At 42.9% G+C, this 13760-nt stretch overlaps 2 protein-coding genes across 32 annotated transcripts in view, besides 3 other annotated features; both read left to right on the top strand.

The window, feature by feature from the left end:
- Positions 8–627: an enhancer, noted in NCBI's record as "H3K27ac hESC enhancer chr11:111749557-111750176 (GRCh37/hg19 assembly coordinates)". NCBI's record gives its function as "activates a minimal SCP1, AML or CMV promoter by ChIP-STARR-seq in primed H9 embryonic stem cells {active_cell/tissue: H9 hESC(primed)}" and the evidence as "EXISTENCE:reporter gene assay evidence [ECO:0000049][PMID:30033119]".
- Positions 42–511: an enhancer, noted in NCBI's record as "active region_5522". NCBI's record gives its function as "activates an Ori minimal core promoter by ATAC-STARR-seq in GM12878 lymphoblastoid cells {active_cell/tissue: GM12878}" and the evidence as "EXISTENCE:reporter gene assay evidence [ECO:0000049][PMID:35858748]".
- On the top strand, positions 295–5404 carry FDXACB1 (ferredoxin-fold anticodon binding domain containing 1). 2 transcript variants are annotated; one of them, NM_138378.3, is made up of 5 exons: positions 295–499; positions 748–904; positions 2449–2652; positions 2821–2979; positions 3356–5404. In NM_138378.3, the coding sequence occupies exons 1-5, from the start codon at positions 328–330 to the stop codon at positions 4536–4538; spliced, it is 1875 nt and encodes a 624-aa protein (NP_612387.1). In that variant the 5' UTR covers positions 295–327; the 3' UTR covers positions 4539–5404. The 2 variants fall into 2 exon arrangements, 1 of the variants encoding a protein (NP_612387.1); NR_038364.2 differs by lacking the exon at positions 748–904.
- ALG9 (ALG9 alpha-1,2-mannosyltransferase) overlaps positions 7879–13760 on the top strand; it is a 103557-nt gene continuing 97675 nt past the window's right edge. For 12 of the 30 annotated variants that reach the window (XR_001747968.3, XR_001747967.3, XR_007062503.1 and 9 more), the window contains exons 1-3: positions 7879–8108; positions 9090–9228; positions 10724–10858. Coding sequence is in view for 9 of the 30 variants with exons in the window: in NM_001352418.1 (NP_001339347.1) it covers positions 7978–8108; positions 9090–9228; positions 10724–10858 (405 nt within the window). In the remaining 21 variants the exon portion in view is untranslated. Of the gene's footprint in view, positions 8109–8158; positions 8686–9089; positions 9233–10723; positions 10859–13760 lie in introns of those variants that run through there. The other 18 variants (NR_147984.2, NM_001077692.2, NM_001352420.2 and 15 more) reach the window with 8 other exon arrangements.
- Positions 7934–8243: a silencer, noted in NCBI's record as "silent region_3902". NCBI's record gives its function as "represses an Ori minimal core promoter by ATAC-STARR-seq in GM12878 lymphoblastoid cells {active_cell/tissue: GM12878}" and the evidence as "EXISTENCE:reporter gene assay evidence [ECO:0000049][PMID:35858748]".

Genomic DNA, 13760 nt, shown 5'->3' with positions numbered 1-13760 from the left:
CCAGAACTCGCCTCACCCCCCTGCGCTAGTGACTGCTTGTGACCTCATGCAGGTGTGATGAAGTCGCTCAAGGCCATGCTTGGGCTAAAGACACTTTGATCTTCCCGAGGGGGTGAAAGGGCGAGGTGACAGGAAAGTGCGCGTCTTGCTTTTGCACTCATAGTTATCATCCACCGGGGAGTCGGTACACCGGCTCGTCTAGACAACCAGGCGCCATGGGTGCGTCATCAACTAGTGACGGGAGAAGACGGGGCGGAGAGAGATCCGTGAAGGAAGTGACGTAAAACGAGCGCCACAGAGAACGCGAGCCGGGAGTCCGTGGAGGCCATGGCCCCTCGGCGCCTCCTGTTGGTTGGGGAGGGGAATTTCTCCTTCGCCGCCGCTCTGAGCGAAACCCTGGATCAGAGCACTCAACTTACCGCCACCTGCCTCCAGCGCCCGGCCGAGTTGGCTCGGGATCCACTGGCCTGGGAGAATCTGCAGTGCCTGCGCGAGCGAGGTAGCGAGCCCGCCCCTCTGCGAAACCCCGCCCAGCGGCCGGCGCGTCCCAAAGTGGAAAGGGTGGGGGCGTGGGGATGTAACCCACGTGGAGATTGTTCTTGATCGTCCCACGGATATTCACATAAAGCCGGCTTTGTGCCCAGACTTGGGCTGGTCTGCACGGTTTAAGTTAGGAAGAGTTTTTCTGTTCCATGTCTTGAGGCATCCTCCTGTCTATATTTTGCGCCCCCAAACTATCTTTGCCAGGTATCGATGTACGTTTCGGTGTGGACTGCACCCAGCTGGCAGATGTCTTTGAACTGCACGAGAGAGAATTTGATCAAATTTATTTCATCTTCCCGCATTGTGGACGCAAAGCTGGCGTAGCTAAGAACAGGGAACTGCTTGCCAAATTTTTCCAAAGGTGAGGAAAGGAGCGCCCTCACAAGGAAAATGTTTAAGATGTCCATAACATAGTTACTGTACCCAAACATAAGGCACACGTGCAAGCTACTATGATATGTTTAGAAGAGACTATAAAGCCCCAAAGGAACCCCAAGTTTAGTTGGAAAGACAGATATATAAACCCTAAATGCTAAATGAAAGTACAAATAATGTACTCTTGGGTGTGTAAAAGAGGATCATTTATTTTTGACAGTGCAAAATAATGAGAGCCATATAGTCTAATGGCTAAGAACGTGCACTTAGAAGCCAGACTGCCTGGATTCAAATCCCAGCCCACCACTTAACAGTTGTTATTTTTTTATTTTTATTTATTTTTATTTTTTGAGACAGAGTCTCGCCCTGTCGCCCAGGCTGGAGTGCAGTGGTGTGGTGCAATCTCGGCTCACTGCAAGCTCCGCCTACTGGGTTCACGCCATTCTCCTGCCTCAGCCTCCCAAGTAGCTGGGAGTACAGGCGCCCGCCACCACGCCCAGCTAATTTTTTGTATTTTTAGTAGAGATGGGGTTTCACCGTGTTAGCCAGGATGGTGTCGATCTCCTGACCTTGTGATCCGCCTGCCTTGGCCTCCTAAAGTGCTGGGATTACAGGCATGAGCCACCACGCCCGGCCAACAGTTGTTATTTTAAGCAAGCTTACTTAATCTTTACATGCTTCCGTTTCCTCAACTGTAAACTAGGGATATTAATAGTAACTAACTGGGCCAGGCGTGGTGGCTCATGCCTGTAATCCCAGCAGTTTGGGAGGCCGAGGTGAGCAGATCACCTGAGGTCAGGAGTTTGAGACCAGCCTGGCCAAAGTGGCAAAACCCCGCCTCTACTAAAAATATAAAAATTAGCTGGCCGTGCTGGCACGTGCCTGTAGTCCCAGGTACTTGGGAGGCTGAGGCAGGAGAATCGCTTGAACTTGGGAGGTGGAGGTTGCAGTGAGCTGAGATCGTGCCACTGCACTCCAGCCTGGGCGACAGAGCAAGACTCCATCTCAAAAAAAAAAAAAAAAAAAAAAGTAACTAACAGCCTCATAAAATTATTGTGAACTGAAAACAGTGCTTTACATGATTATACCACAAGACATGATACTATTGGAGGTGTCCGATGGGGCATAGCTGTCAATAAAGTTTTGACAGAGGTGGTATTTTAAACTAGTATTTGAATTTCAGGAGGGCAGTGAAAAGAACTTTCTAAATGGGAAGAAACAGCCTAAGCAATGAATCATATATAGGAACTGTGCAGATATTGATCTTTCTGTGACATATGCATGAATGACACAAATGCAAAGCAGACCCTGGTCAGCCAATCTTATCAGTGAGTGGGTTGAACATTTAATTTATGCTTCTATTTACTTCCAGCTACTTTCTTTGCATTTTTTGAGGTCTAATAGATTTTTGCACATAGGTATGATTGGATTTTAATTATTTCACAGGCAAACCATGTGTATGTTGCCAACTCCTGTGGTAATTTCTGCTTGTTTATGATAATTAGTTAGTGTTTCTTTTCTCCCTATTAGCTGTGCAGACGTTCTTGCAGAGGAAGGAGAAGTCCACGTGGCATTATGTAGAGGACAAGGTGGAACTCCTGCGGATAAGCCCCAGAGAGAATGGCACAACAGTTGGCAAGTGGTTGCCATGGCAGCCCTGGGGGGGCTCATTTTAAGCGACGTGTATCCATTCAGCTGTAAGGCTGTGGCAGGGTACAAGTGCACTGGATATAGGTAGGTAATAGCATAGGTTTAAGCCTTCTGCGTTTTCATCTCTCTCACTAATGATAACAAAATCTCATAGACAGACTCAATAGGCCCTGCCAATTAATTGATTCGGTCTCTAAAAATACTTGCTTATTTTAATAATGACAGACTTCATATTGGTGTCTATTTTGCCAGGAGTCAAGATAAGTCCTTTCATGTAGAAGGTGCTTTGAACCATATCTTCACCAGGAGCTTACCTTTTGAAGGTTCTCAACCCAGAATCTTCAGGATCAAACTGGGTAACCAGTGGTTTTCCTTTCCAGAACCAGAAGCACTTGTAGGAAAGTTGAACAGGTAACCAGTTATTTTGCTGGAAATCACTTCCATCTCCAGTTGTATCCTGATTGTCTTGATGGCAACCATATATTGAATGGATGGTGCATAAATTGTTAGTGATGTTGGTGCTATGTTTATTTGTCAGCCTGGCCTCCTTAAGCATCTCTAGAATTATAAATGGTCACATTTTCTGATATATTGTAGGGATGGTGGCTGTCAGAGTTCTGAAATACACGTCTGTTTCTCCTTATGGTAGATGATTTCTTTGTTTCCTTTCAAGATCAATTTAAAGATAATTCTTTTCTGTCCAGCTATTTGTATTTTTAATTCTAGCTACATTATAATTATTTACTATCTTAAGTTAGAAAAGTTATTTTTGTGTGTGTTTAAACAGGGGTTTCCTGGAAGCACCTTCATGTCATCCTATCAAAACCATAAATGAGAAACTCATTGCTGAATTAGGCAAAGTTTTCCCGCTAAAAAGGCTGAAGTGTTCCTACCCTTTGCTGCCACAGGAAGGTACCAGTGTTCTTCCTTTCTGGAATTGTGACTTTCTGTCAGCTGCTTTTTGGATTAGTCTCCATGAAGATAACTCAAATTCTGAGTCCCTGACTGGTGGGACATCACAAGATGTGGAAGACTTTCTAGTGTCATTTTCAGAACTTAGCCTTCTCAAGAATCCTGGAAGAGATGGTAAAGAAGAAGCTTGTGAAGGAACCTGTGGCCAGGCCAAGATCTGCCTTAGACCTTCTCTCCTAGTGCATGTTCAGGATGTCATCGAAGTACCAGACTTCCTCTCAGGTTCTCTGCACATCCTCAGTGGACCTGTCTTTCAGAAGTGCCACATTTTGCCTTTCACAATGCCAGCATTTCATGAAACTTTATTTATCCTTGGGGTTAATCAAAATCTGAAGGATGGCTGTCTTCAATCACTGCTGGATCATCTGAAGGGCATTCTAGATAGCCTGCTGACCCAGACATTGCCGGAGAGCTCTAAGCTGAGCAGTTTAGTCAAATTTGTCCTTCAGTCAAATGGAAAGGATTATATGATTCGTGTGAAGACTCATAATTTTAGCCCAGATTGTACTGAGGATCTAATTATTGGGTCTGTTATCACATCTGCCACTAGTGTTATACATAAAGACCAGTGTTTTGTGTTTGTGTCTATGAACTTGGACTTATTAGCCATGCTTGTCTGGTGTATCTCTGACTGGAGAATGTTGTGGACGTTTGATAACCGTTTCCTGAAAAATTTTGTCCCTGGCAAAATAGAACCCTTTAAAAGTCATTCTCTGTATCCTCCATGTTATGTGCATGATGTTAGTTTTTGGATAGATCAGAAGAAAGGATTTGATGAACTAGAGTTTCACACTGTGGCCCGAGCAGTGTCTCAGGACACTATTATATCCATACAGTTTCTTAGCCGTTTCCAGCATCCAAAGACTCAACAGGTCAGTCTCTGCTATAGATTGACCTACCAGACCTGTGACAAGGCCCTCACCCAGCAGCAAGTAGCATCAATGCAGTCCCAGTTTAGGAAGGAGATTCAACAACACCTATATGTTATACCTCGGTAGTTTGGTAAATCCTTTTCTGCAGTGTGATCCTTCATTGCGGGGGATGTGGAGGAAAATTACCAACTTGCAACCAGTAGTCCTTTCTGGATTTTTGTTTTTGTAAAATCTTTTACTTTGTGACCATAGCTACTGTTCGTTGATCTTTTTTTTTTTTTTTTTTTGAGACGGAGTCTTGCTCTGCCGCCCAGGCGGGAGTGCAGTGGCAGTGGCATGATATCAGCTCACTATAAGCTCCACCTCCCAGGTTCATGCCATTCTCCTGCCTCAGCCTCCCGAGTAGCTGGGACTACAGGCACCTGCCACCACGCCTGGCTAATTTTTTTTTTTGTATTTTTAGTAGAGACGAGGTTTCACCGTGTTAGCCAGGATGGTCTCAATCTCCCGGCCTCGTGATCTGCCTGCGTCGGCCTCCCAAAGTGCTGGGATTATAGATGTGAGCCACCGCGCCCGGCCTACTGTTAGTTGATCTTAAAGATACCTTGACTCTATTACTGAAACTTATAGATTATAATGTGATTGGTGACATTTGGAGTTGTGTAATATTTTGGTCCCGAGAAGTGACTAAAACAATAAACAAAACAGCATCTTGTACTTTAGATGCTCTATTGTTGAACAGGCAGTAGAACTTAAGTGTCTCATCAAATATAAATATGTTTTCCACACTGTCAATTACTCTTCCCTTAACTTTGTTGTATCATTTCATTAAATCACCTTATGAGAGTAGTTTTTGGCATCAGACTAACATTTATTAGCTTGGGAAATTGCAAATATTCCACATTAATTTTGGTATTATTATTATAATCATCACCATTTTAATTCTGTGGTTGAAAGTCATGGAACGAATAAAGTGTCAGATTTAGGGTTAACATTTGGGTCTGTTTGACTCTAAAGCCCATGTTCTTTCTGCTACTTTCTGTTACTTCTTCCCTAGTCTTTAACAGTAATCGTTCAACTGTGATTAAACTTTGCCTCTCTGGATTTTGGGGCCTTCTGTTGTAAGTATCTCTAAGGGACACTGGAAAATTAGCTTAGGATTCTGCAGAATGCGGTACTCTAATGTGAAGTAATGTATGCTCCTGTTAATAGTTAGGCTCCACATTTGGGATTATATTCTGTGAGAGACATGACTGTCTTATTTATTCTTAGAGAAAAGCACTTGGGAAGGCAAGAATGGAAGTACAGAGACAAATTAGGAGGTTATTGCAGTAATGCAAATGAGATAATGACCTGGACCAAGGTGGTAAAATGTTGGGTTGGATAATATTTGGAAGGACTTGCTGATGAATTAAACATTTGTGTGTGGGTGAGAGAGGTGTGGGGTTAGAGAAATAAAGGAATTAAGCAAGACTACTAGGTTTTTGACCTGAATACCTAGAAGATTGGAAGTGTCATTAACTTGGATGGAAACACTGCCATACGAGTAAGTTTGGGGAGTGGGATAAAGAATCAAGGGATCTCTTACAGACACATCTATTGCTGAGCTCTCCACATTGACTATTTTGCTAACTGATGGCAGGTAATGTGATTTATCCCTTTCTTCTATCCTCAGTAGTGCTTGGTACATGTATAAGGTAGCGTTTGAAAGCTGGATCTTAAAACAAGGGCAGGAATGTGAAGGGAGAATTGTTAGGCAAGTAGGGTGTGCATTTTGGGCAGAGGACATCCATAAACAGAGATATAGATAAGGGAGCATTTGGGGGCACTTTCTAGGCTAGTTAGCTGGGATGTAAAGTGTGCATAGGAAAGTAGTGGGAGATAAGATTGGAACGGTAAGTTGGGGCTGGAGTTCATGAATACCAAATGCTAGAATAAGGAGTTTGTACTTTATTTGGTAGGCAATAGGAAAACATCCGGTGGTTTTTTATTAAGGAAGTGCCCCAGAGTAGTGCTTTGGAAAATTAACTGGTTAATGTTGCACAGGATGAATTTGAGATGAGTGATCCCTGTGGAGATGCTATTGTGTTAGTCCTACGTAGACAGGGAGGGACCTGCATTAGACTTAAATGAAAAGGAGGAGATGGGTATATGAGATACAGTTAGGCTGGGTGTAGTGGCTCACGCCTATAATCCCAGCATTCTGGGAGGCTGAGGTAAGTGGATCACTTGAGGCCAGGAGTTCCAGACCAGCCTGGCCAACATGACGAAACCTAATCTCTACTAAAAATACAAAAATTAGCCAGTGTGGTGGCAATAGTCCCTGCTACTAGGGAGGCTGAGGCAAGACAATCTCTTGAACCTAGGGGGCAGAGGTTGCAGTAAGCTGAGATTGTGCCACTGCACTCTAGCCTGGGTGAGCAAGGAAGACTCTTGTCTCAAAAAAAAAAAAAAAAAAAGAAGAAAAAGAAAAGAAAAAAAGAGTTAAGCTGGATATTTGAACTTGGTAACTAATGACTGCATGTGAGAATTGAGCAATATGATCAATCTCCATTTTCAATACTTGGGAATTTTTAGTAGGAAATCACAACCTTCTGAGACCTTGTCAAGAGATTAGCATTCCCTCTATAAACTTGTCCCAGTTACTGGCATGGAGCTCGACAGGGTAGGATATAGCTCTGTGATTAGAGGAGTGGATAGAGTGTCAGGATTAGATGAATGACCCCCAAGATATGGGGGTCACAGGTATGATATCATCAATGTGCCAGTATAAAAATGATTGTAGGAAATGAAGACCTTTCACCAGATCTGGTGGGAAGAGAGAGCATGGGCTTTCCGGTAAGATAGTCCTGGGCTGGAACATAGCTCCACCATTTACTAGCTCCAAGTTTATTTAGTTTCCTGGTAAATAAAACAAGGTTGTTGTATTAAGTTTAAAAAGGATAAAATATGTAAAATGCCTACCACAATGCCGTAGTAGCGATGACAGTGATGGACATCTGGTTCAATTTGCCGCACAGAATTTCATCAGTCTACACTCTGCCATTACCGGTTTGTCTCTCTGAAGCAGTTTTTAGCTACAGGCTGCCTCTGTCACTCTTACCAAAATACAGAGAAGGCAAGGTGTTAAAAATGACATTTTAAGGACCTTTTAGTAGATAGCTGTGCTGTGATATTTAACTGAATACTTCACATCTCACTATGTAGATTTCTTTAATCACTTTCTATTTGTTTTTTCATTTAAATAGGGGAGCTGAGAGGTGGTTTTTTTTTTTTTTGAGAATGGAGAATGCTGAAAAGTGACGGAAAAGAGGGTTGGAGGGAGGTAGGAATGGCTAGAGTTAGAAGCAGGTGGATGGGACAGCCCTGATGAAGAAACTCCTCAGGTTCTATTTCTTCGCTACTCGGGGATCTGCCCCAATTGGCCCAGTAACGCTATAATTTAGTATTTTCTGCGCATGTCAAGGTCTTTTGTCCCTCGGCGGACACCGTTTGCCAGCCAAAGCTATGTCTGCGCGCTCACCGACTTCATAGGGTGCCGAATTCTTTTTTCCCCAGGCTTGCCATGGCTAGTCGAGGGGCTCGGCAGCGCCTGAAGGGCAGCGGGGCCAGCAGTGGGGATACGGCCCCGGCTGCGGACAAGCTGCGGGAGCTGCTGGGCAGCCGAGAGGCGGGCGGCGCGGAGCACCGGACCGAGTACGTGTGCGGCGCGGCAGGGGCGTGGCCGGCCGGCGGGGCGGTTCGGGGCTGCCCCCGGGAGGGTCTTAGCTGTGGCGCGCGGGGCTCAGTCCGGCCTGGCCTCACCGCGGGAGGCCCGAGCTCCCTCTTCAGCTAGGTCCTATTGGTCTTCCTGGGCGGGTCAGCATTCAGTCTTCGCCCACCTTAGATCCCTCCACTGCGCTGTAAAACTGCCTTGGAGTGCGGATCTGTGATGCTCCTGGGCCAGGCCTAGAGTGGGCACAGCCTCTGTGGGAGATGTAGACAGGATCAAAGAGTATACCTTTTACGGCTGTTCCTCACAGCTCCTTTTATTCTCCCTCAAGTCCCGACCCTTTACTGGGCCCATCCAACCCGCCATCACCTCTTCCCAAACCCTGGAGGCTGCAGGTTAGAACTGCATTAAGGGAGCTGTCAACATATGGAATTGGAGTAGGCTATGTACCTTGCACCTAGGCTTCTATCTGAACATAAGGGGGAATGAATAAAGCCATCAAAAGCAATGACCTTGTTAAGAAAAGAAAGAAAAGGAGAATGACAGCTTTGTGGCCTTCAAGTGAGTGATTAGTTGGCTTGGGATAAATGGAGTGACATAAATGCATTGAGCTAAAGTGTATGAGTTAATTTATGCCTTAAAAGCAGGAAGTGGAAGGAGTGATTGAGTGATTAAAGTCAATTCTTCAGAAGGCTGAGGCAGGAGGATTACTTGAGCCTAGGAGTTTAAGTCCAGCCTGGGCAACATAGCAAGACCCTATCTCATAAAAATTTTTTCTTAAAAATCTGAATTTTTATTAATTTTACTGAGAAAAAACAACTAGCTATTCACCTTTTTAGGTGAATAACTTAAGTGCTTTGATGTCCCTTGCCCTTTTTGTCCTTTCTATCTAGATTTAGGTCTTCTGATTAGCAGGTCCTTCCTGACATGCTTTTTTTTTTTTTTTTTTTTTTGCTTTTGAACAGGTTATCTGGGAACAAAGCAGGACAAGTCTGGGCACCTGAAGGATCTACTGCTTTCAAGTGTCTGCTTTCAGCAAGGTTATGTGCTGCTCTCCTGAGCAACATCTCTGACTGTGATGAAACATTCAACTACTGGGAGCCAGTAGGTGATTTCTTTAGTTTTCTCTTTTTGTTCTTGATTTTGCAGCATAGGTGTTATTACCAATCGAGAGACAAATAATATACAAGTGTGACTCCTAGTAAAATAACTGTATTTTCTTAAAAAAAAAAACAAAAAAACAGGCCTATAATCCCAGCACTTTGGGAGGCTGAGGCCGGTGAATTGCCTGAGGTCAGAAATTCGAGACCAGCCTGACCAACATGGTGAAACCCCGACTCTACTAAAAATACAAAAATTAGCCGGGCATGGTGGTGGGCGCCTGTAGTCCCAGCTACTCGGGAGGCTGAGGCAGGAGAAATGCTTGATCATGGGAGGCAGAGTTTACAGTGAGCCGAGATCACACCATTGCACTCCAGCCTGGGCAACAGAGCGAGACTCTGTCTCAAAAAACAGAGATGGGGGCTCATTATGTCACCGAGGCTGGTATTTAACTCCTAGGCTCAAGCGATCCTCTCACCTCGCCTTCCAAAGTGTTGGGATTACAGGCGTGAGCCACTGGGCCTGGCCAGTAACATGTTTTCACTTTTGTATTCTAAGCGGATGATTTACCTGCTATTGAAGGCTGTAGGGAATTTAGCTGGTTTACACAAAGGTGTAATTTGTAATTTTCTTTTTTTTTTTAAATGAAAATAATACCTGGAGATAGTTTTTAAAGTTAACAACTACTAAAATACCTAAAGGAAAAACAGTAGCTTTCTATTCCACTTCTCGTGTCCAAATCCTACTTTCCAGAAGCAACCACTTTTTTTCACTTTTTAAGTTATTTCTTCTGACGGTTACCAAAATAGTGTTACTAAATAGTATACTTTTATTGCTATTTATTGATTTACACATTACCTGTTGACTTTTATTATAGAAAATTCAAAGGTAAAATTTTCTGATCACATTTTGAATTAAAAAAATGAAGGAAGACTGTTAAGTGTAGGTTGTTTAAGGAGAATATAAAATTTAGAGGTTTTCTGTTTTGGCTAACAAGTATTGAGAAAAAATAAGTAGAAGGTAAAATTTAAGCTTTCAGTGTTGACCAAACAGCAATCTTGTAAAATTTATAATGTCTTAATATTTTAAATATTGTATCATTTTGATTCCTTTTTTATCCATCAATTGCAGATCGCCCAGGCTGGAGTGCAGTGGCATGATCTAGGTTCACTGCAACCTCTAATTCCCAGGCTCAAGTGATTCTCCTGGCTTAGCCTTCCAAGTAGCTGGGACTGCAGGCATGCACCACCATACCATGCTACTTTTTTTTTTTTTTGGTAGAGATGGGGTTTTGCTATGTTGCCCAGGCTTGTCTTTAACTACTGGGCTCAAGCAGCCTGCTTGCCTTGCCCTCCCAAAGTGCTGGGATTATAGGTGTGAGGCATCGTGCCTGGCTTGCCTTTGTTTTTAATATTTCTGCTCAGAAACTTCACTTGCATCTGCTTAACAGAGATTTTTGGCCAGTATAACCCTGAATCTATCTGTTTTGTATTTTTAGACACACTACCTCATCTATGGGGAAGGGTTTCAGACTTGGGAATATTCCCCAGCATATGCCATTCGCTCCTATGCTTACCTGTTGCTTCATGCCTGGCCAGCTGCATTTCATGCAAGAATTCTACAAACTAATAAGGTAAGGGCAGACCAACCTGGAAGCAATCACAATTGATCAAGAGGTGAGTCTCTGGTATAGTTTTGAGAAAAGGACAAAATGAATTGGAAGTTAAAAGGGAACTTTTTTTGAAGAAGAATCATTTATCCAATTCACCATTCAACAAGCATTAATGAAACAACTTTTATTTGGTAGACACTGTATTAAGTGCTGTGGCTATAACAGTAACCAAGCCCCTGACTTAATGAAACTTGTGGTTTAGTGGAGAAGATGAACATTGAACAAATCATTCTAAATATGGTGGGTCTTATGGAGGAAAAGTACAATGTACGGTGGAATAGCATATTAGGAGGGTCTAATTTAAGTAGAGTGCTGAGAAATAATTAGATGTTAACTGGGACCTAACCTGATTAGTTTTCAGAAATTTGACTATGATGCGTCTTGGTGTGGATTTCTTTGGGTTTGTCCTGTTTGGAGTTTATTCAGCTTCTTGAATCTTTGGGCTTATTCCTTTTGCCAAATTTGGAAAGGTTTTAGTTTTTATTTTTTTGAATACTTTTTCAGCCCTGTCCGGTTTCCTCTTCTTCTGGAACTTTGATGATGTGAATGTCAGATCTTTTGTTATTAGTCCCCCAGGTCTTTGAGACTCTGTTTTCAATTTATTTTCTCTCAATGGTCAGTGGAGGCCTGGTAGGGAACCTCGAGTTCTACCTCCACTTGGCGGTAACAAGGTAGAGACTTCCCACTAACGCTCTTTCCCTGCTGGGTTAGTGGGAAGTAGTATCAAAAGAAGCCAGCTAAAACAGAAAGCTTAAATAAGATCGTAGGAGCACAACAGTGCAAAGAAAGCATGCTGAGCCCATGAATAATCCAGAATCTCATAATGCAATACCTAAAATGTCCAGCTTTCAACTGAAAATGACCTGTCATACCGAGAATCAGGAAGATCTCAAACTGAATGAACTGTTGTTCACATTGAGTAATTTCTTTTCTTCTGTCTTCCACTTCACTGATTCTTTCCTATGTCCCCTCTTCCAATGCTGACCCCGTCCATTGCATTTTTAGTTTGTTCTATGTACTTTTTCAGTTTTAAAATTTCCATTCAGTTTTTCTTTATATCTTCTAATTTTTTTTACTGAGACCTTCTCCTTTTTCATTTGCTTCAAGCATATTCTTAGTTATTCACTGAAATATTTTTACAAAGCCCGCTTTAAATTTTGTTAGATAATTCTGACACCTCTGTCATCTTGGTGTTGGAATCTATCGATGGACTGTTTTCATTCAGTTTGAGATTTCTACAAGACCTGGTAGGATCTATTAAGGTATTAGACTGTTGTTCTTTTCCCCCCAAGTCTGTTATGTAAAGCCACTGCAAGGTTTTCAGACAAAAGAGAGGTATGATTGCATTTACATTTTAGAATGATCAGAAAGGTGGCACCTGCAGAAAGTGACAAAATACTGTCCCTCCCTTCCCTATCCGGTATCTCATTTCCATTTTTTTGTTTGTTTGTTTGTTTGGTTTGTTTTTGAGACGAAGTCTCACTCTGTCGCCCAGGCTGGAGTGCAGTGATGTGATCTCGGCTCACAGCAACCTCCGTTTCCCGGATTCAAGTGATTCTCCTGCCTCAGCCTCCTGAGTGGCTGGGATTACAAGCTTGAGCCCCCACGTGTGGCTAATTTTTTTGTATTTTTAGTAGAGACAGGGTTTCACCATGTTGGCCAGTCTGGTCTCAAACTCCTGACCTCAAGTGATCCACCTGCCTTGGCCTCCAAAGTGCTGGGATTACGGGCGTGAGCCACTGCACCTGGCCTCATTTCTGGTTTTTTTTTTTGAACTTGTCAAAGGAAAGATAATAAAGGGTGAAGGGCTCAGCAGAAAACTAACAATGTGCTATGCAGAGGGTTTTTATTTCCATTTGGCTATCTAGTATCACTTCAAATTTTACATGTTCAACACAGAATTCTTCCTCTTCTCTAATCCTGTTACATCACTGATGTGCACAGCAAGTGAAATGGAAAGCAAGATTTCTCTTCTTCTCTTGTTCTTACTTCTGATCTCCTTTTTCCTAGCCATTCAGCAAAGGGGAATTGTAGCTTAGAGAGTCTTAGCCCCAGCATCATAACGTTGAGTAGAGAAGGATGGTTGTTTCTGAGAGACAGGGTGGTAACAATTGGCACATCTAGTGATAGCTACCTTCTCAATCTCTTGCTACCCCAAATGAAAGCACCTTTGTATTATCTCTTCATGGACCTGTTCGTGAATTTCTCTGAAGTGTACACTCAGGAGTGAGATCCCACAAGTAGGCCCATTTTTTTTGTTTGTTTTTGAGATGGAGTCTCACTCTGTCGCCAGGCTGGAGTGCAGTGGCACGATCTCGGCTCACTGCAACCTCCGACTCCCAGGTTCAAGTAATTCCCTTGCCTCAGCCTCCCGAGTAGCTGGGGTTACAGTTGCCCGCCACCATGCCTGGCTAATTTTTTTGTATTTTTAGTAGAGATGGGGTTTCACCATGTTGGCCAGGCTGGTCTCGAACTCCTGACCTCAAGTGATCCGCCTGCCTCGGCCTCCCAAAGTGTTGGAATTACAAGTGTGAGCCACCATGCCCGGCCAGTTATACTATATATTAAGTAGTGTTTAAGTTCTGAGAAATTCAGTGCTCTTAACCATATGGTATTCTGTAGTATAAAGCTACTTAATATAACCCCTATTTTATTATTTTTATTTTTTAAATTGATGTCAATTATAAAATTAATAAAGCCACATAACAGAACTTTGGAAGATAGGAGGAAAAATACTCATCTAAATCTACCAGGTTGCTATAGCTACTTTTACCATTTTATTACATTTCTTTCCAGTCTTTCCACATGCATATAGTGTCCATAGCTGTAACTGATGTATAAATAATATTGTACATTTTCTCTT

This window comes from Homo sapiens, chromosome 11 (assembly GCF_000001405.40).
Source record: "Homo sapiens chromosome 11, GRCh38.p14 Primary Assembly".
NCBI lineage: Eukaryota > Metazoa > Chordata > Mammalia > Primates > Hominidae > Homo > Homo sapiens.
Note: the sequence above shows the minus strand (reverse complement) of the source record. Positions and strands in the feature narration are given on the sequence as shown.